The 24,836-nt window shown below is 62.1% G+C and overlaps 2 protein-coding genes across 6 annotated transcripts, besides 6 other annotated features; both read left to right on the top strand.

The window, feature by feature from the left end:
* Window positions 466-966: an enhancer, noted in NCBI's record as "H3K4me1 hESC enhancer chr1:2463669-2464169 (GRCh37/hg19 assembly coordinates)". NCBI's record gives its function as "activates a minimal SCP1, AML or CMV promoter by ChIP-STARR-seq in naive H9 embryonic stem cells {active_cell/tissue: H9 hESC(naive)}" and the evidence as "EXISTENCE:reporter gene assay evidence [ECO:0000049][PMID:30033119]".
* Window positions 2,673-3,176: an enhancer, noted in NCBI's record as "H3K27ac-H3K4me1 hESC enhancer chr1:2461459-2461962 (GRCh37/hg19 assembly coordinates)". NCBI's record gives its function as "activates a minimal SCP1, AML or CMV promoter by ChIP-STARR-seq in naive H9 embryonic stem cells {active_cell/tissue: H9 hESC(naive)}" and the evidence as "EXISTENCE:reporter gene assay evidence [ECO:0000049][PMID:30033119]".
* HES5 (hes family bHLH transcription factor 5) lies at window positions 2,933-4,451 on the top strand. Of its 2 annotated transcripts, NM_001010926.4 has the most exons (3): window positions 2,933-3,085; window positions 3,185-3,350; window positions 3,447-4,451. In NM_001010926.4, exons 1-3 carry the CDS (start codon window positions 3,032-3,034, stop codon window positions 3,725-3,727), a joined length of 501 nt encoding a protein of 166 aa, NP_001010926.1. In that variant the 5' UTR covers window positions 2,933-3,031; the 3' UTR covers window positions 3,728-4,451. The 2 variants fall into 2 exon arrangements, with proteins under 2 accessions (NP_001010926.1, XP_005244808.1); XM_005244751.5 differs by having other exon boundaries at window positions 3,185-4,451.
* Window positions 3,691-4,410: an enhancer, noted in NCBI's record as "OCT4-NANOG-H3K4me1 hESC enhancer chr1:2460225-2460944 (GRCh37/hg19 assembly coordinates)". NCBI's record gives its function as "activates a minimal SCP1, AML or CMV promoter by ChIP-STARR-seq in naive and primed H9 embryonic stem cells {active_cell/tissue: H9 hESC(naive and primed)}" and the evidence as "EXISTENCE:reporter gene assay evidence [ECO:0000049][PMID:30033119]".
* Window positions 4,411-5,131: an enhancer, noted in NCBI's record as "H3K4me1 hESC enhancer chr1:2459504-2460224 (GRCh37/hg19 assembly coordinates)". NCBI's record gives its function as "activates a minimal SCP1, AML or CMV promoter by ChIP-STARR-seq in naive H9 embryonic stem cells {active_cell/tissue: H9 hESC(naive)}" and the evidence as "EXISTENCE:reporter gene assay evidence [ECO:0000049][PMID:30033119]".
* Window positions 5,853-6,573: an enhancer, noted in NCBI's record as "H3K4me1 hESC enhancer chr1:2458062-2458782 (GRCh37/hg19 assembly coordinates)". NCBI's record gives its function as "activates a minimal SCP1, AML or CMV promoter by ChIP-STARR-seq in naive H9 embryonic stem cells {active_cell/tissue: H9 hESC(naive)}" and the evidence as "EXISTENCE:reporter gene assay evidence [ECO:0000049][PMID:30033119]".
* On the top strand, window positions 6,600-24,659 carry PANK4 (pantothenate kinase 4 (inactive)). Of its 4 annotated transcripts, none has more exons than NM_018216.4 (19): window positions 6,600-6,732; window positions 11,396-11,478; window positions 11,881-12,095; window positions 12,290-12,473; window positions 12,782-12,874; window positions 13,242-13,395; window positions 13,872-14,053; window positions 14,599-14,680; window positions 14,932-15,032; window positions 17,479-17,634; window positions 18,730-18,842; window positions 19,107-19,194; window positions 20,157-20,308; window positions 21,513-21,568; window positions 21,809-21,858; window positions 22,414-22,518; window positions 23,039-23,139; window positions 23,266-23,334; window positions 24,136-24,659. In NM_018216.4, exons 1-19 carry the CDS (start codon window positions 6,609-6,611, stop codon window positions 24,347-24,349), a joined length of 2,322 nt encoding a protein of 773 aa, NP_060686.3. In that variant the 5' UTR covers window positions 6,600-6,608; the 3' UTR covers window positions 24,350-24,659. The 4 variants fall into 4 exon arrangements, 3 of the variants coding, with proteins under 3 accessions (NP_060686.3, XP_011540010.2, XP_047280262.1); XM_047424306.1 differs by lacking the exon at window positions 6,600-6,732 and adding an exon at window positions 7,004-7,595; XR_241034.4 differs by lacking the exons at window positions 23,266-23,334; window positions 24,136-24,659 and having other exon boundaries at window positions 22,448-22,518; window positions 23,039-23,126.
* Window positions 9,093-9,880: an enhancer, noted in NCBI's record as "H3K4me1 hESC enhancer chr1:2454755-2455542 (GRCh37/hg19 assembly coordinates)". NCBI's record gives its function as "activates a minimal SCP1, AML or CMV promoter by ChIP-STARR-seq in primed H9 embryonic stem cells {active_cell/tissue: H9 hESC(primed)}" and the evidence as "EXISTENCE:reporter gene assay evidence [ECO:0000049][PMID:30033119]".
* Window positions 24,660-24,836: the final 177 nt, after the last annotated feature.

Raw genomic sequence — 24,836 nt, 5'->3', positions numbered from 1 at the left:
TGGGGCAAGAACACCCCCATCCCACGCTGAGCTGCTGGGGGCAGCCAAGGTGGAGGATCCCAGCCCCCCAACACTTCACAGTGCTTCTGTGGAGCAGAGCCTGCCAGCCTGGAGCAGCCTCCAGCCCTCCCTCCTCCAGCCCCCTCCGCAGCCCACCGTGGATGGTGTGAGCCGGGAGCCTAGTGAGTTTCCCACACTTTGGCCCCATTCACAGTGTTAAACGGCCCACAAAGGCCAGGCGTGTGCCTCGGAGGCCGCCAGAGCTGCCATCTGGCCCGAACTCAGGGAGGGAACCAGCCTTTCATCCGGCCAGGATTCAACACCATTCATTTCATATTTCCCACAACTGAAAATTGGATCAAAGCTGCTCCAGTCCAGGGGGAGGGAGGAAGAGGCGGGAGGCAGCAGCCCCCACACAGCCCACCCACCACCCTCACCTCCGGCAGGCCGCCATCCTGGCCCACTGCGGGTGGGCGGGCCGTGGGGGTGGGGAGGTTGGACCACATCTCCCGGCGGCACGTGTCTCCTGTGGGCTGAGGAGCTGGCTCAGGGGAAGGGACCAGGACAGGACACAAGCCCCAGCCACCTGCCGCTCCAAAGCCTGCGGGAGCAGGGCCTGGCCTCAGTGCCACCCCCATATCTGGGCACAGGCCCTGTCCCCGCTGCCAGCAGCTGGGTGGTCAGGGCACACGTGGCTCAGGTTCCGTTTCCTGCTGGCGGAGGTGCTGGCCAGGGCCTGCCTGGGCTGGGGCCACCTGCCCGTGCTCCCGCACCCCTAGCCCCTGGCTAAGCACCTCCTTGATGTGGCCGCTGGACCAGCAGCGTATAGGTCATGGGCACACGGGTGACTACCTCGTCCTGCCCTCCCCACCCCCAGTCCAACCCCAGGGAGCCCATAGTCAGGCAAGGGACATGCCACAATGTGACTGCCGCCAGCATGAACCCCACTTCAGCTGCGAAATAGCTCCACTGAACACAACCAGATCCCCTGTGTAGCCGGGAGTCCAGAGCCCCTAGCCAGTGCCAGCCGCCATCAATGCCCAGAGCTGTGGGAGCCATGGCGTGAGCGCGTGGCCTGGACACCCCCACACGGGTTGCCCTCCTGCATCCATCAAGGGCCAGAGTGTTGTGGTGGGACCCCACCTGCTCAGAGATGAGCCCCCAGCAGTCCCAGCCCCCAGTGTCACTGCCTCCCTCTGACAGCCTGGAGCATGAGTCCCCTTCAAGGGAGGTGTTGTGGGAGTACAGCGGGGGTACGAGGGTGAATAGGGGCTCCCTTCCTGCCACCTCCAAAGTCACCTGATGTTTCTGCCTGGGAGCCTCCCAGCCTAACCCTTCACAATGGTGTCCGGCTGGCCTGTGGGAGAGCCACCCTGCATTGGCTTGAAGTCCTGTCTTCCCCTGCTGTCCCAGCACTGTCCTGGCTGCCCCCTGGACCGTCCATCCTTGTGCTGAGGACCTCCTGGAGCTAGGCCCACCAAGCGAGTCACTCAGAGCCGGGGGTCACTGCCGAGAGCCTCCGGGGAAGGCTCCTCATTGGACCCTGCCAGCTGGCCAGGGAACCCCACTCCTGGATTCAAACTCTGCCTAACCAGCCCTGATGCCAGCCCCAGCTCTGGGGGCTAAGGCCCTTCCGCTAGGACCCGGCAGGGTCCCAACCTGTCTCTAGGAGCCAGCCCAGGCCCCGAATCCTCTCCTAGTCTCTGCTGCAGAGCATTTGAGGAACTGTGACCGCAGGCTAGGGGGTGGGGGTCTCCCAAGGGACCCTCCCCTAAGGACCCAGGGTGGGATTCATTGCCTCAAAGTGGCTGCGGGCACTCAGCTCAGTTGGCCAGGTACCGGGGTTATTAGCTCATCCCATGGACCGGTGGTTGGGGGCGGGGGGCTAGGGCTGGCATGGCCTCTGATCCTCAAGTCTGCCACCTGGCACCCACTCCCTACCCACTGGCAAAATGCCAGAGGAAAGCAAGCCCTACAAGTGCCCTGGCTGCCAGAGAGACTAGGTGGAGCTGTGGCATGCATAAACAGTGGCCACAGCAAGCATGCCAAGAGCCGAGGCCTCCCGAGCTGCGTGGACACTGTAGTCAGATCCCTGGCCAGATAGGGGTGGGGAGAGGCCCCTGAGGGACACCTGCCAGCTCGTGGAGCAGCCCCAGTGCTGCTGTGGGTTACAGTGCTCCTGGGAGGACAGGGTGCAGGAAGCGGGGAGAGCTGCCGGGTGCCCGGCTCCGCGGGGAGAGCTGCCGGGTGCCGGGCTCCACGTGGAGCACGGGCCCCAGCTTCCTGGAGCTGCCCGGAGCCCAGCCAGGAAGGCACAAGGCCCATTTTCTAGGTCTGGAGAAGTCAGGAGTCCCAGGTGACAGTCAGGGGGCTTGTAATATAGGCACGTAGGACTGATCCTAAGAGCGTCGCCCCCTCTGTCCCCCTCCCCTGGAGGGGCAGCAGGTCCCAGTCAGGGAAGGTGCCCATCCCCCAGGAAGCCGTGGCACTTGTTCATTCTACAGTTTTTCCCTTATCTGCTCCTACGGCCTCTGCCAGCCAGCAGTGGGAAGCCGCTGGGGAGAGGCAGGGGAGGGGAGCGGAGGGGAGGGCGGGGGAGGGGGCCCTCCTTCCTGCCCCCCTCCCGTTTGGCGGCCTGGGAAAAGGCAGCATATTGAGGCGCGGGGCTCCCGGCATCAGGCCCCGGGATGCTAATGAGGGCGAGCGCGTTCCCACAGCCCGGACATTGTGCCGCGCGGCCCACCTGCTCCTTGGGGAGCGCCCATTGTGCCCGCGCCAATTCACAGGCAATTTAGCGTGCGCTAATGGGCCGGCGCCTTTGTGCGGCCCGCCCGGCCATTGGCCGCGGAGTGTGGGAACGGCCGCGGCGCCCGGACTCCAGGCGCCAGGCCGCCGCCCGCGCCTATATAGGGCGTCGGCGCGCGGGGCCGGTGTCCGCGCCAGCCCGGGACGCGCTTGGCCTTGCCCGCGCCCGCTCGCCTCGTCTCGCCCGGCCTCCCCGCGTCGCCTCGTCGCCTGTTCCGCGCCAGGCATGGCCCCCAGCACTGTGGCCGTGGAGCTGCTCAGCCCCAAAGAGAAAAACCGAGTAAGTACCAGACTCGCCCGGCGCGCTGTCCCCGCGGCCTCCGGTCCTCGGGGGTCCCTGCGCCGTGCCGGGCCAGCCTGACACCCCCTCCTCCCGCAGCTGCGGAAGCCGGTGGTGGAGAAGATGCGCCGCGACCGCATCAACAGCAGCATCGAGCAGCTGAAGCTGCTGCTGGAGCAGGAGTTCGCGCGGCACCAGCCCAACTCCAAGCTGGAGAAGGCCGACATCCTGGAGATGGCTGTCAGCTACCTGAAGCACAGCAAAGGTGAGCGCGCCCGGGCCCCCCGCGCCCCGAGTTCCCACCGCGCCCCGGCTCCCCCGCGCCCCGCCGCCCGCTCACCGCCGCCGCGTCTCCCCGCAGCCTTCGTCGCCGCCGCCGGCCCCAAGAGCCTGCACCAGGACTACAGCGAAGGCTACTCGTGGTGCCTGCAGGAGGCCGTGCAGTTCCTGACGCTCCACGCCGCCAGCGACACGCAGATGAAGCTGCTGTACCACTTCCAGCGGCCCCCGGCCGCGCCCGCCGCGCCCGCCAAGGAGCCCAAGGCGCCGGGCGCCGCGCCCCCGCCCGCGCTCTCCGCCAAGGCCACCGCCGCCGCCGCCGCCGCGCACCAGCCCGCCTGCGGCCTCTGGCGGCCCTGGTGACCCGGCGGGACCTGCGGGCGCGCGGCCCGACGACCAGAGGGCGAGCCTGCTCCTCTCGCCTGTAGGGAAGCGCCTTCCCGCCGTCGTCCGCCCCGGGCTTGGACGCGCCCTTCTCCGGAAGGCTCTGGCCCCAAGCTGGCCGGCCCGCAGGAGCCCCATTCTCAGAGAATGTGTGTGCAGAGTCCCTGCCGTTTTAGGACAATCAGGGCCCATCTTCTGCCAAGTGTCTGACCCCATGGGGTTGTTCTGTGTTTGCATTTAAGCAAGTGACTTCTGGGAAGTCCCCGGCCGCCCGGGGTTCTATGATATTTGTAGTGCCGGGGCTCGCACACTGCTGCCCCCAGCCTGTAGAGGACTTTCTTCAGGGCCCGTAGCTGCTGGGCGTACCCCTGGCAGGCGGGCTGTGCCGCGGGCACATTTGCCTTTTGTGAAGGCCGAACTCGAGCTGTATCCTCATAGGAAACAGTGATCACCCCGGACGGGCGTCCAGGACCCTGAGGGCCATGGCCAAAAGGCTCCTGAGTGTGCCTGGTGGTCTGGCTGGGGCTCACGGTGGGCTGTCTGGGGAGGGTGGGTGCCTCCACTATGATCCTTAAAGGATTCCTCTGTGTGGGTGGATGCGTGTGGGCACGACTTTGTACTCAGAAATTGAACTCTCAGTCACGTGGAAGCCACGGGACTGCTCCGAAGCCGCCATAATAAAATCTGATTGTTCAGCCCCCAACACAGTGTCGTCTGCTGTGCCTCACGCCTGTCCTTGGCAGCCATGGAGCGGGTCTGCAGGGGTGAAGGGGAATGGGCAGGGCCATGGTAGCAGTTAAGCAGGGAGGGACCCCTGCCAGTGGCCCCCTGGACCCCGGAAGAAGGGTGGGGTCCTTGCTCCGGAAGAACAGGGGGAGGGAGGGATGGAGGGAAAGCAGGTGAGGGGCAGGGGCAGGGGGAGGTGGGCTGGAGGGGTGGACATGGTCGGAGCCCTGGGTCTCCCCCCGCCCAGGCCTTTCACTAGCTTCCGGAAGGTAGGGGTGGGGCAAGGTGACAGCGCAGGACCTTAGGCTGTGTCCACTGAGAGGCGACCCAGGGCCACAGCCCGCAGTAGATCTGTTGCTACAGCCAAAGGGGCTTGGCCCTGGGCCAAACAGGAGAAAACATTTGCCCCGAGTTGCTGCTGCACACTCCCACGGCCTGCAGCGCCAGTCCTGGCATGGGCTCCGGGGACACCTGCCCGCTGGCCACCGTGCCAAGGCAGGATCTGGCAGTCCTGGCAGGAGCCTGCACGGGGCCATCCCTTGCCTCAGAAAGGGCATGTATTTTTAGGCAGGCCACAGGGTGTTGGCTGAGTCTGCAAGAACTGAGGCCTGTGGCTCCCAGGGACCAGCTCCCAAGGGGCAAAATCCATCCAGCAAGGATTGGGCCGGAGTGGGCCGCATTCCCACCCCCGCTGAATGGTAGCCCCGTGTGTGGGCCTGCCCTGCCTGCTCCTTCCTGCTCAGCCCCTCTCGCTCCGCTCAGCCTTCAGCCCCTTTCTGGCTACTCCACAGGCAGTCTAGACAGGGTCCCCCCACCAGACCAACCCAGTGCCTGCCAGTGGTCCCTACCGAGCCCCGGGGTATGGTGGGCAGAGGACAGGGAAGGCCCCCATTCACCTGCATGTTTCCCGCATGTTCAGTGGGCACACAGGTGGGCGCCCCTCATGGAGGGCACCTCCTGCCAGCCTGGCCCATGGCACACCATGCTGCCAGGGGTCTGAGCTGCCAGAGGTCTAAGCCGCCTGGGGTGTGCTCCACTCTTCCACCCAGGCCTCCCTGGGGCAGGCTCCCCCTCCAGAGCCACACACCCACCCCCTTGGAAGACACAGGCAAGGATGCCTCCTCCCTGAAGGCTTGCCCTGCGCACACAGATGCATTATCCCTGGAGTTTGTGCCGCCCCACAGGCCTGTGCTCCCAGGAGCCCTGCCAGGCAGCTGGTGGCATTCTCCACGTGCAGACAGAGGCTGAGGGCCAGAGACATGCAGTAATGACCCCGGGTTACCCGGGAGGGGCTGATCTGTCTGCTTCCAACACTGGGCTTTTTCCCAAGGCGCCCAGAGCCTCTGGAGAAGACGCATCTCTTCATGCCAGCAGGGCTTCCCAGCCACTCACCCTGGAACCCTGGCCTGCCCCACCTATACCCCTGTCCTGGCTCCAGCTGCTTCCAAGGCTTGTTCCTGCAGCCTCCCAGGCACCTGTCTTGCCCACAGGCAGCCTGCCTGGCTTCCCCCGACCACAGCACTTTCCACGGATCGCCATTACAGCACACATCTTCCCTACCCGCAGGTGCATGCCAGGCTGGGGCTCCTCCCAGGTGGGGCAGGGTTCCCCACTCCTCTGGTTTGCATGGGACTTTTAACATTGAAAGTCCCACGCCCCTGGGAAGCCAGGATTGAGTCACCCTAGCAAAGAGCGCATCACATTCGCCCTGGCGTGCAGGGCCAAGCTTACAGCAGGCACTCGCTGAAGGGCAGGGCTCTCTGACAGTCTGCAGACCCACGTGCCCCCTTAGAAGCAGGTGGGCGGCCTCTGCGGCCTCCCTCAGCAGGGCTCAGAGCACTTGAGTTAAGCCTGTGGACAGCGCGGTAAAAGAACATCAGTCCAGATGTTCTGTGCTGATGCGCGATCTCTGGAGGATAACCGCCCGCCCGCCCGCAGCCCCGGGCCTCTCGGACCCCTGCCCAGCACTGGCCCTAGCTCGCCCTGTAGCGGCCGAGACCTCAGAGGCCGGGGGTGGGGGAGGGAAGGGGCGGGGCCGGCGCCTCATTAACATAATCTATGCGAGGGGGCGTTTGGCAGTCAAATATATGCGCATATATCTCCATGGCTGATGAGCTGGCCGGGCACTTTCAAAATGGCGGAGTGTGGAGCGAGCGGCAGCGGGAGCAGCGGGGACAGTCTGGACAAGAGCATCACGCTGCCCCCCGACGAGATCTTCCGCAACCTGGAGAACGCCAAGCGCTTCGCCATCGACATAGGTAGCCGCAGGCCGGGCGCCGGGCGCGGGCTGCGGGGGCGGGCGGGGCGCCGGCGGTGGGCCGGCGAGCGGGGGCGGCGGGAAGGACGAAGGGCGGGGGCGCGGGCCTCGCGCACAGCCTCACGGGCCTTGTAGTCCGCGGGCCCGCGCACAGCCTCACGGGCCTTGTAGTCCGCAGGGTCGCTGATGCGCGGGCTCGGGGCGACGGCCGGACTACAGCTACCGGCAGGCGCCGCAGGGACCAGAGCGGGGCCTGCCGGGCCTGGTAGTTCGCGCGGCCGTCCTGGGTGGCTGGGGGCCGGGGTCCAGCGTTACCCGCCGCGAGGTGGGAGGGTCGGCGGAATTTTATGTCTTCGGCCACATCGGCATCTGGGCGCCCCGGCTCCGCCGCTTGGCTGGTGGCTGGCCTGAGATTTGGGGTCCTTAGTTCTGGTCGAGACGAGGACGAGCTCGGCGGGAAGCCCTTGGCAGAGTGGCCCCGAAAAGGCCGCGCGTTCCCGCGGCGTGGCCAGCTGTGGCCCGCGGGCCGGACAGTCCGTGCACAGGCCCCGCTCTCTGGAGAGTGGACGCCGGGCGTGAGTTCAGGCGGCCGTGGACGTGGGACCTGGGAACTCGTGCCTCTGGTTTAAAAGCCACCCGTGCCTTCCGTGGCCTTTAAGGCGGCCTGCACTTCTGCCCTGGCCTCTCCAGGGTCCGCTGCAGACCCTCCTGCCTGATGGCTGTGCTCTCAGTAATGACGGCGGGCCAGGCTCTGTTCTAGACCTTTTTCCCACGCTCCTGACTCCCGGACACCTCCCAGCCACCTCTAGGGGAGGAACGCGAATTACTCCCTTTTCGCAGATGAGGATACCAAGCCCCAGAAAGGTGAACTAATTTGCCCAGGGTCATCGGGCTAGAAAGTGGCAGAACCAGGATTTGAACCAGCCACTCCCTGCTCTCCTACTCTGCCCATGTTTCAGGCATGAGGGCTTCCTGGGGGCAGCTTCACCTGGAGAAACCCCCCTTGAATAGCCGCTGCGGCTTCACATACCTCTCCCTCTTAGCACTCATCTCGGTCGTAGGCTGAGTCTGCTTGTGTGTGAATCCCACAAGAGCAGCGGTGTGTCTTGTAGCCCCAGCCCCCGAAAAGGATGCCCAACCTGTCTTTGCCGCCCAGTAAATACTGGGATGAATGGGCCTGCCGCTGACTGCTTCCCACCTCCCTGGAAAAGCTGGGACTCAGAGAGACCCAGGCCATTCCCTCTGAGCTGTGTGCTCCTGGTGCATCTGACATGTTTGCTGCTGTGGTGTCCTCGGGGTTGTTGGTGTCATCATCTCTCTGAGATGTCCAGCCAGGGAAGGGTGTCCTCTAGGGAAGTGGGGGGCGATGAGAATGGAAGTAGCTATAGGTCCTGGCTCCCACCTTTCAGTGAGCTTATGGGAGGCAATGCTTCTTAGGGGGTGTGGCCTGGTGCCAGGTATGAGAACGTGTGAGTAGCATCTTTAGGGACCGCTGATAGGACTTGGGACTGACTGGTTATTGGGCTGCAGGTGCTGAGCTTGCAGCCCTAGCCTAGGGGATTGTCTACCGCAGGCCTCACCAGAGGCTCCCCAGCCATGCTTCCCAGCCTTCTGAGACCTTGAGGCCCGGTAGAGCGTGTGCTCTGCAAGGTTCTGCTGCCCTTACACTGGGGGATTCTGTTACTGGAAGCAAGTCGGGATTAAATGTTTCTGAAATGCAATTGCAGTTGACCTGCATAAGTCACTTGGGGAATGGCCAGGAGAACAGGGCTCACCGTGGATGTTCTGTGTGGCCCCGAGAGGCCAGTGAAGCCGCAGAGCTGGGGCTGTCCAGGAAGGGCTGTCGCAGCCCTAGAGGGCCCTGGAGTACCAGCCTGTTCTCCAGGCTGAGCCCAGGGGGTTTCTTGGTAGAAGGATACTCTAAGAGGTCTGTTTAGTGCTGGTATTTATTTCCCCTCTTCAAAGTTTCTCCCTGCGTCTGGGTCCTGTGTCTCTGGTTCTTAAGAGGACCTGTTGACTGATACTGAGAGACCTTTTGTTTGTTACTCCTGACCGAGCTGCTGGGAGGCCACGCTCAGGGTGGGGTGTCTTCAACCCAGGAACCCTCAAAGCCAAAGTGCTTGTCAACAGTGTTGTTTAAAAGCAGGCTTCTCCCATTTCCTCTTCCCTTGCCTGTGTCTGGATCTAGGAAAGCTCACCTGCCCTGTGTTCTGGCAAGCTGTTTTCCTCTCGATGGGACGCTGATGTCTGCTGAGCAGATTCACCTCTTTGAAAGCAGCAGGGACGTTGTATTTCTCAAAACATACTGCAGCTTCGATCTGATTTTAGGTTTCTGCGGGCTGTGGGGAGGGTTCCTCAGAGGCAGGTGAGACAGGAAGGGGCCACGGGGCGGTGGTGTCTGCTTGGCTGTCCTGCCCTCCATTGGTGCCCAAAGAGGAAACACAGGACCAGAGAGAATGGCAGAGGGGATGGGGCCTGTGGGACAGGGAGAACTAGAAGGCCATGGCTCAGATGTGAAGAGCACAGGTGACCAAACCTCTGGGAAGCCCCCTTCCCCCACCAGCTGTTGGCCTCAGGGCCGAGCGCGGGCAGCCCGGAGAGCCGCCAGGAGGCACTCCTGTCACTGCCTTGCCAGGCGCGGTTTGCTGTGATTCCGAGGGGTCCCTGAGCTCAGCCCGGAAGGGTCCCCGCCCGCAGGCGGTTCCCTCTGCTCTAACAGATCTCCCTGCTGTGCGTGCCCCTCGCGCCTCAGGTCCCGTTTTGTCCCCCCGGGTGTGGGGAGTAGGCAGACGGAACACTGGCCTTGCTGGGCCTCTCCGTGCAGGGGTCTCAGGGAGGGAGGATGCGTATCTTGCAGAAACCAACCCACCCCCACCTCTGTCCCAACCCCAGTACATCCTGTTTGGGCATGTATTTAACACAAAGAACCCAGGGCCTGAAACTGGATTTCTGTGACCTGAGAGTTTGTTTATACTGACTTTTGATGAGTCTCTTAAAATAGATCTTCATCCTCTTGCATCATCTGTCGTTTTAGAAAACGATTTATTTACTGAGGTGAGTCGGCGGCATGGTGCATGTTAGTGAGACTCTCCGGGCCCGGCCAGCACTGGGGGCAGGGGAGGGGATAAGGAGGCTTAAAGCCACAGGCTAGGGGATCAGATTGAGCCTGTGACGCGTCCACCAGACTGTACGCCAGCCGTCGGGGAGCCTGCCCTCACCACCAGGCAGGAGGTGCCCTGGGATGGCTGTTGTGGGGCCTGGACACGGTGGGTTTTGCTACATGAACAGCATTGGCTGTTTGCTTGGTGTTTCCAAATCTTTTTACTGACCTGAGTGCTTGTTCTCAGACATCCTTATAGTATTTTGTCAAAAAACAATAATTTGAAAATAACTTTAGCCTCATTACTCTCATGATGTGGGATTTTTGCCTCTTTTTGTCAGGCCCTGTAAGAAATGCACTGTGTTAAGTCACTATAGCACCATCCAGTGCCCTCCGTTAAGTCACTATAACACCACACGGTCCCCTCTGTTAAGTCACTATAGCACCATACGGTGCCCTCTGTTAAGTCACTATAGCACACACAGTGCTCTCCGTTAAGTCACTATAGCACCACACGGTCCCCTCCGTTAAGTCACTATAGCACCATCCAGTGCCCTCCGTTAAGTCACTATAGCACCATACGGTCCCCTCCGTTAAGTTACTATAACACACACGGTGCCCTCCGTTAAGTCACTATAACACACACAGTGCCCTCTGTTAAGTCACTGTAGCACCGCGCAATGCACTCAAAGTCACATTTTGTTTCTTTTTCTATTTGTCATTCATGTTGTTTCAAATCTATGAATACAACTCTAGCCTCAACAATGTCTGTTTTTTTTTTTAACTTAGAAGAATTTGTCCTTGAAAAGGCCTTCTTCAAGAATCTTTTCACTTTTCCCTGAAATCTGGTTCAGGTACATAGAGCCCCTTCCATTTCCTGATATTTATTCAACCTTTGATCACAGGCGGCATCCTGGAAGCCACAGGGCTTCTCGAGAGCATCAGAGAGACTTTGGCCTGTGGGGAAACGGACTTTGGTGGCCTCTGACTTCTGGCTACTTTTGGGGCTGGGGCTGCATTTTCTGCCTGGAGCCTCTCAAGAGTAGCCAGCGGCACCGTTTGCCTCTCCAGGGTAGGGGAGCTGCTCAGGCCCCGTTACCGCCCTGGGCTGTGAGGAGAGCCTCCTTTGTAAGCAGGGACGGTCGAGGGTGTACTTCTTAAAACGAAAACAGCCTGGATTTGTCAGCTTATCGCTTTGGGTCATTAGCAAGATCACTTGAAACTGAATTTTCTTAAAGCAGTGAGGATAACCAAGGTTACCCAAAGCAAGACAGCTCTCCCTTTCCTCTGCAGGACTTGGTGCCAAGGGGAAGCGGGACCTCTTGAGCTCAGTTTGGCCAGGGAGCTGAGGAGGAGCAGAATTTGAGAAAGAAAAGTGTAGATTTGATTGTTCGTTTTCCTGTCCTCTCTTTTGTGCCCACAGGGTTTTTAAGTTCCAGTAGCCCCAAACCCCTCATCTACAGAGACTTTAGTCTCCAGGACACCCAGAGAGTGTGGGGCATGGACCCCCAGGCCCCGCTGTGTCCTGGTCCTGAATCCTGCCCGGTTTGTGTCTCCCCTGCAGGCGGGTCGTTAACCAAGCTGGCCTACTATTCAACGGTACAGCACAAAGTCGCCAAGGTGCGGTCTTTCGACCACTCCGGAAAGGTGAGCCTGCACTGTGGCCACCCGGGGCAGGGCAGCCGCTTCTCTGTCGTCTTGGACCTGGCACTTGTCTCGCAGTCATCCCTCTGCTGCTGCAGACCTCGACTTTAGTGTCCTGGGAGTTTCTAGCAGGGACAGCCTCCCCTGCCTTCCGCCGTGTCCCTTCAAGACCCTTTGTAGGAACCTGCGCCCGCCTGTGCTCCCCCGGGAGAGGCTTCCGCTCCTGCTGGGTGGCCCTGAGGTCGCCACGGTCCTAGGCTCCTCCCTCTTGCCCAGGATTCTGCCTCAGAGCGCCGCCTGGTTGAAGGCTGGCGCGAACAGCCAGCTCCACTAGGGCAGGGTGCGCACAGCCCAGCCCGGCGCGGTGTCCCACACACATGCGGCCTCCCCTACTCTGTTTTCCAGGACACAGAACGTGAACATGAGCCGCCCTATGAGATTTCAGTTCAAGAAGAGATCACTGCTCGACTGCACTTCATTAAGTTTGAGAATACCTACATCGAAGCCTGCCTGGACTTCATCAAAGACCATCTCGTCAACACAGAGACCAAGGTCATCCAGGCGACCGGGGGCGGGGCCTACAAGTTCAAAGACCTCATCGAAGAGAAGCTGCGGCTGAAGTGAGTGGGGATCTCAAGGGCGAGAAAGGAACATGTGTCTGCCCCCGAGTCCCTGGGTGTCCCAGAGCCGCGTCCCTGGCGCTCGTGTGTCAGATTGCGCATGGGGCATGGCTGCCCCTTCGGACCAGGCAGGCTTGCATGGTTGCACCTGTCTGTGGCCCAGACTCTTTAAGGGGTTGGCGCTTCCTTTTCAGAGTCGACAAGGAGGACGTGATGACGTGCCTGATTAAGGGGTGCAACTTCGTGCTCAAGAACATCCCCCATGAGGCCTTCGTGTACCAGAAGGATTCCGACCCTGAGTTCCGGTTCCAGACCAACCACCCCCACATTTTCCCCTATCTTCTTGTCAATATCGGCTCTGGAGTCTCCATCGTGAAGGTAAGACCCGGCTTCATGAATGAATGAGTGGATGGTTTAGCCATAGTTTGTTAAGCCCTCGCTGTGTGCAGGAGCCAGGGCTGGGCACATGGATGGGGCCCAGTGGGCGGGAGGGGGGTGGCGAGGCTGTGAGCTCAGAGCCTCTGTGGGAGGGGCATCAGCGCCCCCAGGCTTGGCCATGAGAGTCCTCCCACTGGCGGTTGGGGTGGGGGCGGGGTTCACCCCAGCGCAGCACATGGGGCGGGGGGCGGGGGAGCCTGTGTGGCTGAGGGCCCACTGAGGGCACACCTGCCCTGGCTCTGTTGCAGGTGGAGACGGAGGACAGGTTCGAGTGGGTCGGCGGCAGCTCCATTGGAGGCGGCACCTTCTGGGGGCTTGGCGCTCTGCTCACCAAAACGAAGGTATGCGGCAGCTGCCAGAGACCTTCCAGGGGTCTGCGGAGATGTCTGCTTCCTTCCCCCGAAGGCCTGCAGCTGGGCGGTGCAAAAGCTGCTTCCGGGCCTCCCTCCTGACTCGCGTCAGTGGGTCTCTGGCCTCTGCGGCTTCACTCTTTGCGCCCTGAGGGTTGGGTGTCCCAGCAACCCAGAGCTTCTATCCTGGCTGGGTGGCCCGAGGGTCCCGCTTGCCGCCTCCTGCCTTTGGTCCCACGCGATGAGGGCCCATTTACCCCCTGCCCGCGCGTGCCTCCTGCCATGGGCTTGGTTTCTGGGGTCGTGGGGATTCCAGCAGCTCCTGGCGCCTCACCCGCCCCCTCGCCGTGTCCTGCAGAAGTTTGACGAGCTCCTGCACCTGGCCTCGAGGGGCCAGCACAGCAATGTGGACATGCTGGTGCGGGACGTCTACGGCGGCGCCCACCAGACTCTCGGGCTGAGCGGGAACCTCATCGCCAGCAGCTTCGGGAAGTCGGCCACCGCCGACCAAGGTGCTCACCCCGGCCTCTGCCGCCAGAGAGCAGGATGGTGGGGACACTTGGGGTCTCACGGACAGGAGCTTCCCCCACCATTGCTTTCCCACAACTGCTCCCTGGAGAGTCGGGGTCTTGGGTGTCAGCCCTGTAACCTCTTCCTGCCGAGTCGCTGCAGCTCAGGCCCACTGCTCAGAACGTCGGCAGATAAACGCCACGGTCTTGGTTTTGGAAGAAAAAATAGTTTCCTGATTGGGTTTTTTCCTCCTTCAAAACAAAGCTTAATCCGTCCAGGAATGATTCACACATCACACGCAGCCTCCCGCACTTGGGCTCCAGTTCCCCCACTCAGCTCTCTCTCCCCCTCCCCTCCCACTCAGCTCTCTCTCCCCCTCCCCTCCCACTCAGCTCTCTCTCCCCCTCCCCTCCTGCTCGCTCTCATGTCGTGCACTTGCTGTACTTGGAGATGAGTGCCTTTTCCTTCCCTTCCTCAGAGTTCTCCAAAGAAGACATGGCGAAGAGCCTGCTGCACATGATCAGCAACGACATTGGGCAGCTGGCCTGCCTCCACGCACGGCTGCACAGCCTGGACCGCGTGTACTTTGGAGGCTTCTTTATCCGGGGCCACCCCGTGACCATGCGCACCATCACCTATAGCATCAACTTCTTCTCCAAGGTAACGGATGCGCCGCCCTCCCCAGCCTCTAACGCAGACCCCCCAGGATCTTCCCAATCAGTCATGCTGGTTAGACACCGCAGCACCCCCAGGGAGGCCTGGAGGGTGGGGGCCAAGAAGCCCAGCACCCCTCCCTTCTGACTGATTCTGGGCAGCCTACATTTTGTGGCACCGTGGCCACCTGAGTTTGAGTACATCACCAGTGATGAGCATTCTAGAGAGCTCCAGGCAGGCCTGCTGATCTGCGCTGGGGTCAGGGTGCCCCTGCCCCCGCAGAGGCACGCCCACCCACATGCCTGACGCAGAGACTTGTGGGCCAGGGACTCGCTGCATGGGAGAAGCTATCTCACCCTTAGCTTTCTTCAAACAGCAGCCCGCCCTCTGGTGCCAGGCGCGATTCCACTGGCAAGTATGCCGTGGGTGCCATGGCGCCTCTTCGAGGGTTTGGGCCGCGCGGTGCGAGGCCCGCGCACGTTGAGCTGGTTTGCGGAGGCACCGGGTGTTGTGTGGGGCCAACAGCAGCACGTGTGCTTTGGCCACGGCAGGGGGAAGTGCAGGCGCTGTTTCTGAGGCACGAAGGCTACCTGGGAGCCATCGGAGCGTTCCTGAAAGGAGCTGAGCAGGACAGTGAGTCGCGGTGCTGGCGCCCCTGAGCAGCGTGGGGCCTCAGCTGTGGCCTGGGCCTGTGCTCCAGGCCAGGGCGGCCCAGGGTGGAGGTGGGGTGGGGAGCGTGAGTCCTCAGAAAGTGACAGCAGCAGGCATGTCTAACATTTTAACAATTTAGTTAATAAGCGATTTTATACCCTTTCCTCCTCCACTCTCCTGCTTTTGAATCAAGGGCAAGGTTAACACAAGTGACCTGGCTTCTTGCTTTCCAGATCCTAACCAGTACAGCTGGGGAGAGAACTATGCAGGCAGCTCCGGGCTGATGAGTGCATCACCCGAGCTCGGCCCGGCGCAGCGGGCGCGGAGTGGCACTGTGAGTAGTGGGCTCTGGCCGCCCCGGGCCCCAGGGGAGCAGCCTATGCCGCACTCACCTCGCCTGTCCCTGAGCGAAGCCTCTTGTGGCTGTCCCGGCTGAAAGGCGCCTCTGCCCATGGCGAATCCTCCCATGGACCTGGGGTATAACTAGGGGCAAGAGAAGGACACTGTGGCTTGCTTTCCCATCTCCCTCATTGGGTGCTTTCGTATTTTGGAAACATTCAGCAGGAATTACGGAGTCTGTGTGATCCGGCCTTCTTGTTTGCAGAGAGATTGCTAAAGTTCAGGGGTGACGGGGACCTCTCCCCACGCCAGAAGGCCCGTCCACTTTGGAGTTGAAACCCGAAACCGCAGGAGCCACCCAGGGCCCTGCCTAGGACTGCGCGCTCTGCCGCACACTGCCGCGCACTGTGGCTGATGGTCTGTCGGTTACAGTCTGCTCTCCTCGGGGTGTCCCGGCTCATTCCTTGGATCCCCAGTGGGTTTGCCCTGGCCTGAGCTGGGTGGCACTGGCGGGCTAGGAGACGCACCCCATGTCTGCCGAGTTGGAGCTGCTCCGGAAGGGTCCCCCGCCAGGACCTGCGTCAGCCACGGGATGCCCCCAGCACAGCCCCACATGGCAGGAACCGCCCCGTGTCACAGGCTGTCAGGGTCCTCGACCGTGCCCCCCCGCGGGGCTCATTCCTTCTGTAGCTGTGAGCAGTTAACCTGAGGTCACGCACAAAGCTAGTCGGACCCCTCAGGACAGGCCGCTGGCATTGTTGGCAGGAAGTTGCTTGTCATTTGTAGACATGGGGTTCAGTGTCAGTATTTTCAAGACCGCGACTTGTTGAGTTTTGGCTTCTCAGGAGGGCGCCTCCCTTTTGTGTGGGTCCTGCAGTTCACACCAGGCCACGGCCTCGCACAGACGCACCACACTGGCCGCAGCCCTGGTCTGCCTTTCCCACCGCCAGCACTAGGCAGGGGAGTGGGGGCGAGGCTCTGGGGGCCTGGCAGAGCCCCAGGCTCTCAGCTTTTGCCCTGCTGTTGGGCAGAGGGGCTTGGTGTCTTCCAGCCTCAGTTTCTGATTTGCCAAGTGTGCATAATTTGCCAAATGTCCTGGACTGTAACCTGGAGTGACTGCGTGGACGGCCACAGTGCTTCGGGGGCCCCGTTCAGGAGGCGCTTGTTACCTATTTGGTACCCCACCAGTGGCACAGCCCTGCCAGGCAGGAGGGGCCCCCACCTTACTGAGGATCAAACTGACATGCAGAGAGATGGAGTCATTTATTTCAGTTTATATTGTCCAAAAAAGTCAAAGCGAAGATTTGAACCCATTTGTCAGGATAGAAGGAGCCTGCGACCTGGCAAGGCAGCACCAGGCGATCCCGGCTGTGGTCCGTGGTAGTTAAGGTGGGGCTCCTGCCGCCTTCTGCACTGGCTTTGGGAAGTCACTGGCTTTTTCCACGTGGAGCTTCTGCCCGGCATGGGCTTCCCACCTGGAAGGCGTCCCCTTTGCTCTGGAGGTCCCTGCCCACCCAGAGGCTGCTTCTCCAGCCCCAGGGGTTGCCAGCAGGGGTGCCCCAGTGGAGAAGGGCAGAGGGCCAGCATGTGACCTGTGGGGTAGCCACCGGAGGGTGGGAAGAGGCGGTCAGCTACACAGTTCCCCTCATAGCCCCTCTGGTCCCAGAGCAGCGGCTGCTGCGGTGAGCGTGCAGAGAGCCGAGTACTGATGTGTGCGTCGGCTCAGTTCAGTTCACTTCCTCCCGGCATAAGGTAGAAAAAGCCAGCAGGGCCCGTGAGCGCGCCTGTGCTGGGTGCAGGTGGCCCCGGGGTGCCCTGGGTGCATAATGGCCTGGCCCTGCCATAGTCCTTCATGGACAGAACGTGCTGGGAGGCCCGGCAGCCATGGAGGAAGAAGGGTGCATGTGGGGCGTGGGGACTCCCTGCCCGGCACGGAGTGGAACACTGCCTGGTGCTTAGTGAGGACAGAACCCCAAACCTCTGTGTGCAGACACGGCCACCTGGAGGACCAGAGGTGGGAACAGTGTGACTGCAGGGGTCACGGGAGGAGGTGAAACTGTAGGGGTGACAGGGAGGGGTGACTGCAGGGAGGTGGTGATGGGGGAGGGAGTTACTATAGGGATGGTGGAGGAGGGGTGATGGGAGGGTGACTGCAGCGGTGATTGGGGAGGTGTGGCTGCAGCGGGGAGGTGCTGGGGGCAGGAGGCGTGTGGTGGGAGCAGACGCAACCCCAGTGTCAAACCAGGGGGTAAGTCAAGGTATCCGGCTCAGGCCGCCGGGCAGCTGAGGGGGCCCAGTGGGGGTCTCGTCTGTGGCCCAGAGACGTGGCGGAAGAAGGCAGTACATCTCCCTTCTTAGAGAGAGAGTGGAAGCTTCTGAGTGTGGCTTGGGTCGTTCTGAACCATGGTGACGTTTCCACCCTGCCACTGCCTGTCTTCCAGTTTGACTTGCTGGAAATGGACCGGCTGGAGAGGCCACTGGTTGACCTGCCGCTCCTCCTGGACCCGCCCTCCTACGTGCCCGACACGGTGGACCTCACCGATGACGCTCTGGCCCGAAAATACTGGCTCACCTGCTTTGAGGAGGCCCTGGACGGGGTGAGGGCTCCGGGTGCCGTCTAGACGATTCCAAGGCCGCAGCCGGGTTAACCTTCCAAGGCTCCGGGGGCAAAGCCAAGGTGGCGAAGGGGGACAGGCCAGTGTTGTCCAGAAACCCCTTGATCTGCGTCTGAGTGAGGGGGCGATTTTGGTTTCTCAGGCAAAAATACCGCTCCTGGCCACCTGGTGGGTCAGTGAGGACGTGGCGTCTGCGAGGCACGTTGCTTCTAAGGGCAGCTGATAGTTCTGCTAGCTAGCACATTCCTTCAAAAAGCAATTTAGGAGACGTCTCTGCTCTTTTGAGGTGTGACTGAGGTGCGGGAGGCATTGTGGGACCCTGACTCTGGGGGTGGGGTGAGACTCAGCCCCAGCAAGCTCCCGGCGAGGCCACCTTGGGACTCCTGCGTCCCACCTTCTCCAAGGCTGGGCTGGTCCCGTGGAGCAAATGCCAGGCCCTGGGCCACGCTGCCCCTCAGGAGCTCAGCTCGGGGCCAGGGAGCCCCGGTAGCAACACGCACTCTTCACGAAGCCCTCGGAGAGGCCGGGTCGTGCCAGGGTTTGTCCTGAGGGAGGAGTCCCAGCCCTGCCCAGGACCCGGAGTGAGCTCTGAGTGCCCAGAGCCCCTCGTCCCCGGCACAGGATGGGGGCTCGAGTCTGAGGACGTGGGTCTTGGCCTCGGGTTTCCTGGGGGGTGAGGGACCAAGGTCACTCCTGCTCCTGCCTCCCAGGGCAACTGGGAGGGGCGAATGGCAAAGGGAAGCCTCGGGTGACCGTGAACTGTCACCGTCAGCCTTTCCTGTTCCAGTAGAAACTGCCCTGACCACAGCCCAGGCAGCCCCCACCCTGCCCGAGTCCCCCACAGCAGGCCCTGACCCTGCCCCGGGAAGCCCCCCATAGCTAGCCCCCACCCTGCCCCAAACAGCCCCCGACAGCCGGCTCCCACCCTGCACCAGGCCTCCTACAGCCGCCCCCACCCTGCCCCAGACAGTCCCCCACGGCCGACCCCCACCCTTCCCCGAGCCCCCTGCTGTCACGTGGGGATTCGCAAGCAGCAGGGCCAGCGCTTGACTAACCCCCTCCTTCTGTCGCTGGCAGGTAGTGAAGCGCGCAGTGGCGAGCCAGCCAGACTCTGTGGATGCAGCCGAGAGGGCGGAGAAGTTCCGGCAGAAGTACTGGAACAAGCTTCAGACCCTGAGGCAGCAGCCCTTGTAAGTGCCCAGCACCCCGGTGTGTGGCCACCTCTTCCATCCAGAGGGCCCCTGCACCTCTGAGAAAGTGCCGTGATGTTGGCATTCGGACCCCAGCTCGCTGGGGGTGGGTGTGGGCCCTGGCGGCACAGCCCCCTTGGACCCCGCCTCAAGCAGCGTTTGCACTGCCGGGCTCCTGAGGACGTCCGTGGCACAGCCGAGGATGGCAGACGGGCGGGTGTTCGGCCTGCCCTGCTCAGCGCCCTCTGCCGTGTCTGTCCCCAGCGCCTATGGGACCCTGACCGTGCGCAGCCTGCTGGACACCAGGGAGCACTGTCTGAACGAGTTCAACTTCCCGGATCCCTACTCCAAAGTAAGTGCAGTGTGCCCTGGCCTTCCGCTCGCTCTTGTCCCCGTCCCGCTGGCACCGCGTGTCCTGTCTCTGTCCCGCTGGCTCGGGGCATCCTGTCCTGTCTGAGGCCATGCAGGTTTGGTAGCGGCCCCAACTCCAGCCCTGGCACCACAATAGCCAGGGCCTCTGTTGGCAGCATCTGCTGAGGAGCTGTGTTACCCCCACAGATGCTGGGGCCACTTAGGGGTGGGGACTGCTGTGACTAGAGAAGAAGGGTGTGAACCCCAGTTTGGATGTGTTCCTGACAGACACAGGCTGCCTGCCTGCAGGAGCCAAGGGCCTCCCAGCTTCTGTGAGGGTGGGCGATTGTGGTTGGGGACTGCTTTCCCCTCATGGGGAGGGGCTGGAACCCTGGACCACCCTGGCTCCCTCCTAGGAGGCTGGACAGTGACCAGAGGCCTCCTATCCCGGCAACGTGCAGGGCCGTGCAAGGTGGGCCTTTCCGGGCGTCCGTTTTGCTTCCCCAAGTCTGGCGGCCAGAGCCCTCCTTGGCCCTTTCTGCCAGGAGGCAGCGGGCAGCAGCGGAGGCATGGACTCCTCCCACCTCTTCTGGGAAGGGCCAGCGCCATGCCTCCCTCCCCTCACACGCCGAGCCTTGTGACAGCGGAAGTCTGGGTGTCGAGGGTTTTGAGGCCAGGGCTGTGGGTACCTGTGGGGGCCGTGTCCTCCACTCTTGTCCTGCCCTTCACCCACTGCTCAGTCACATGGGGGCTGAAGTTGTCCTGGGCCTCGTCCTCAGAGCCCCGTGCAGCTGTGCGCTGGCCACTGTCCCGGACCGATAGGCTTGTGCCTGGTGGGGTCCCAGTTGGGCCTGAGTCTTCGATCCTGAGGGGCGTGGTATGGAACAGGCTGCGCCTGGCAGGTGTCCAGGGTGGGCTGAGGCCACGTCTTCACTCAGGCCTGGCATCTGGCACTCTCCACAGGTGAAGCAGCGGGAGAATGGCGTGGCGCTGAGGTGCTTCCCCGGGGTCGTGCGCTCCCTGGACGCGCTGGGCTGGGAGGAACGGCAGCTGGCGCTGGTGAAAGGCCTCCTGGCGGGGAATGTCTTCGACTGGGGGGCCAAAGCCGTGTCTGCGTAGGTGTCTGCGGGCTCGGAGCAGGCTCTGCAGCCTGTGGGTGCCTGTCCTGCCCCAGGCTTGCGGGCAAGGAGGTGGAGCGGGTCCCTTGGGGGTCACGTGGCGCTTGGTGGCTTGGTGGCTCAGGGCTTTGGGGCCCAGGGAGTGCACATGGCAGCAGCGCCAGGGGCTGGGCAGGGCGCAGCGCCCTTGTCTGTCCCCTCAGGTTCTGAGGAGGCCCCTTCCTTAAGCATGGGTGCCGCAGAGGCCTAAGGGTGTGGATTTGAAAATCGGGGCTGGCATTTTCTATTGTCAGAATCCAAATTCATGTTTCCTATGTGTGGTAGGAATTAAACATTTCTGATGTGATGATCAAAGGGTGCTTTGCAAAGCAGTCCCCTAGACTGGCCTGTAGGACACGCAGGTGTCTAGCACCTGGCGCCGTCTCCTGGGGCTCTGAATCTTGAAAATGAACCCCCCCACCATCATTTACCTTCACTCCCAAAGAAGCTGCTTCCAGTCTCTGGGCCTCCCCAGGCGGCCGCACCACCTCTCGTGGTCCCTGCTTTTTTTCATGTGGGGCTGGAGGGAAATGCCTGGGTTCTCAGCCCTCCCTGGGTCCCACTCGTGTCTCGAGACATAGATGAGAACGCCGCCTCCAACCATGGCTGCCCCTCTGGGACACAGGCCCCTCCCGCAGCCTGTCAGGAGCATTGGAGGAGGGTCCTGACCCATGGGATTGGCCTTGTGGCTGGGGGCTCCCCACACCGCCTGCATGGGTGCCAAGCACAGGGACCATACTGCGGCTGCCAGTCACCGAGAGGCTTCCCTGGCCCCGTGGCTCCGAGTCCACCTTGAGAAACAGCCTGTGCTCTCTCAGACCTTTGCTTGGTGGCCCCCTGAGCCTTCTGCGGATCGCAGCATGTTAAGAACGCTGTATCTGTTCTGCCTGGGAGTGATTTGGGGTCTTCACGTTGAGCAGCTGCCTCTGTCCCACCTGGGAGGGATTTGGGGTCTTAGCAGCTGCCTCTGTCCTGCCTGGGAGTGATTTGGGGTCTTCACGTTGAGCAGCTGCCCCTGTCCCACCTGGGAGGGATTTGGGATCTTTACATTGAGCAGCTGCCTCTGTCCCGCCTGGGAGGGATTTGGGGTCTTCACATTGAGCACTGTGGCTGAAGGTTTTTGTTCTGTTGTCTTAATTTTCTTTTCTCCTCCTCCATGCAGTGTCCTTGAATCCGACCCCTACTTTGGGTTTGAAGAAGCAAAGAGGAAGTTACAAGGTACGGATGGCCAAGTAACTTGGGGCCTTGCCTTGTGCTGGGGCCATGCCTGGACGTTCTCTGCAACAGCGAATGCAGTTGCGGTCGGGGTCCAGGCACCTCCCCTGCTCAAGGCTCTGTCAGCTGGGCTTCGGGGGCGGGGAGAACTTGCTTCCTGGAGAGACGAACACCTGAAGACGCGTCTCCCTGACCCCTGACCTGGAGCACCGGGCTAATCATGTGTCCCTCTCTCTGTCTCAGAAAGACCCTGGCTCGTGGATTCCTACAGCGAGTGGCTTCAGAGATTAAAGGTATGTGGAGGGGCCTCCCACCTCTGCTGCTGGGGACACAGCGGGGCCCGGGGGGGTGGTCACTGGAGGGAGGTGGGCATGGGCTGCCTCGGGTGGCCCTCCCCTCCTGTTAGAGTCTCACCATCCTGCGAGCCAAGGGTCTCAGCATCCCCTGCCCCACACTTGCCCTCCTGTCGTGACTGCTTCTTAGGTCACCTGCTCTAGGCACAAAGCCTTGCCAGAAGAGACAGGCACTGGCCCCTGCAGGCCAATCCGTCCCTGGCGCCTCTGGGGTCCTGAAGCCCCAGTCTCAGCCCCTGCAGGCTGGCCCGTCCCGGTGCCTCTGGGGTCCTGAAGTCCCGGTCTCAGCCCCTGCAGCCCAGCCCAGTCCCGGCACCTCTGGGGCCCTGAAGCCCCTGGTCTCGGCCCCTGCAGGACAGCCCATCCCTGGCATCTCTGGGGCCCTGAAGCCCCCAGTCTCGGCCCCTGCAGGGCAGCGTGACGGGCAGCAGGGGTGCGGACTGACTCGCTTGGATGCGCCTGTTCCCAACTGAACGTCCTGGTTTTGTCTTACAGGGGCCCCCTCATAAATGTGCCTTAATTTTCGCAGATAACAGTGGAATAGACATCATTTTGGGAGTCTTCCCCTTTGTCAGGGAGCTACTCCTTAGAGGGACAGAGGTGAGTGTTGAGGTGGTGGGTGGGGCCCTTCCCCTGGGCTTCTCTGCTCTCGGTGGGGTTGGCGCCGCTGTGGGCCTCTGGCGGTGGTCGGGGCTCCTCCGGACGCAGCAGGTAGGTGCAGGCAGCAGCACGGGGGAGGCGGCCCAGAGCCGTCATCTGCTGGGGTGGAGGCTCCGAGCCCCCTGGGCTCAGGCTGAGGGTCCATGTGCTGAAGCCCAGGGTTGACGCCAGGCTCCTGGAAGGGTGCTCACAGCAAGGAGGCTTTGGGGCTGTGACTTCACAGACAGGCAGGTCCCAGGGGCAGGCTCTAAACTCAGCTCTGCCCCTCGGCTCAGCTCCCTCCCAGGGGCCACAGAGTGGCAAGGTCAGGCGAGGTCCCTGCTCCTCAGCAGCAGGTGGCTGGCCAGGCCCGCTGGGCACAGCACCCTCACCCAGCCCAGCCACTCGAAGGCCGGGGTGCACGCAGGCTCCATGCTGGGCCAGCACAGGTTCCTAAAGAGCCTGGGCCCTCCTCCTGCAGGTCATCCTGGCGTGCAACTCAGGCCCCGCCCTGAACGACGTGACCCACAGCGAGTCCCTCATCGTGGCAGAGCGTATTGCGGGCATGGACCCTGTCGTGCAGTGAGTGTTGGCGGGCAGTGCTGGGGGGGCCTTGATGGGGAGGGGCACCAGCTGGGCAGAGTGGGCCATGGGGATTGTCACTGAACTGGGAGCTCCTGGGGGCACTGACCACCTTGTATCTGGCAGCTCTGCGCTCCAGGAAGAGAGGCTGCTGCTGGTGCAGACGGGCTCCAGCTCCCCGTGCCTCGACCTCAGGTAACCCCGCACCCTGCACCTGTTCTCTCCCTCCTGGGCTCTGTGCCCTCTGTGCCGTGCACCTGCACCCAGGTGCATGCGGGACACCGACCTCAGGACTGCCCCTGCGGCCTCTCCTGACCCCAGGCCCGGATTGATCTCAGGAGGGGACAGATATGCCATCCCCGAAGGTGGCCTGGGGAGGGTGAATGGATTCAGGGTCTGAGGTGGTTACACATGGGCTGGGTTTGGGGACTTGGGGCAAGAGGGGCCAATGTCCCTGTGGCCACTCAGCTGAGACCGAGGGCGACCTGGGCAGCTGCCCGGTGTCTGTCACCTCCGTGTCCCACATAGATGCCAGGCTCTGCTTCTGTGGTTCTGGAGGTCATTAGTCAATTGTATGTGGTGCTGTCTGTCCTCCTGATTGCAGAGGAGGAAGGAACCCCTTAAATGAGCGGGTTCTGAGTGCTGGGGCCGCTGGTCTGCTCTGCCTGGTGGGATTCTCCAGTGCTGGCTTCATCTGTGCCCCAGCCCCACTCTCACCAACAAGGAGGGCGTGAAAATGACAAGGAATCCATCCCTAGAGTTCACAGGAGATCTAGGGCAGAGTTTCCAAGCTGCAGCTGCTCTGGCCCTGTGTGAGCTGCTGCTCTGAGGAAGCCCCAGGCTGAGGCAGCTACCAGGCGGAGGCTGGGTTTGGAGGCCTCCACATCAGGGAATTGAGCGGTAGGGGTTTCAGCCTTCACGTTGGTCGCCGCACTGTATGGGAAGTGGGGTCTGGGGTCTGCTTGCCCAGTCTCACCGTCCTCTTCCTCCCCAAAGCCGCCTGGATAAGGGGCTGGCCGCACTGGTGCGGGAGCGTGGCGCGGATCTGGTGGTCATCGAGGGCATGGGCCGTGCTGTCCACACAAACTACCACGCAGCCCTGCGCTGCGAGAGCCTCAAGCTGGCCGTCATCAAGAACGCGTGGCTGGCCGAGCGGCTGGGCGGCCGGCTCTTCAGCGTCATCTTCAAGTACGAGGTCCCAGCCGAGTGAGGCGCTGCAGCTGCCGGACTCTTCTGCTTGTCACTTGTCAGGAATGTGTTTTTACCACCACAGGGAAACTGCGTTCAAATCAACGTATTTATATGGTACTGCTGTGACGCGGCACATACACCCCAGCCGCACAGATGCGTGTGACCCAGAGGCGAGACGCAGCTTTGTCCTGGGAGACGTTCATATTGGAATCTATTTAACTGCTAAAGAACCTTTTATATATATATATATATAAATAGAGAGATCTATACAGGTATGTCTGACGGGACGCAGCACCGTGGGCACGCACCAAATAGAGTTTTTAAAAGAGGCCGGAGCCATCTGCGATGTTTTATTTCGGAGCAGGGGCCCCTCCCGACTCCTCCCATGGGGGGAGCCCAGAGCGGGAGCCCTTCCCTGCGCTGCTTCTAGACCTTGTAGGCAACGAGTGCCAGCCGCCCCGCAGACCCCATGGCCCCGGGCCCCTGCGTCTCTCACCGCTCCCTCC

The sequence above is a fragment of the Homo sapiens genome, chromosome 1 (assembly GCF_000001405.40).
Source record: "Homo sapiens chromosome 1, GRCh38.p14 Primary Assembly".
NCBI lineage: Eukaryota > Metazoa > Chordata > Mammalia > Primates > Hominidae > Homo > Homo sapiens.
The sequence above is the reverse complement of the archived record's forward strand: the minus strand, read 5'-3'. Positions and strand labels throughout refer to the sequence as shown.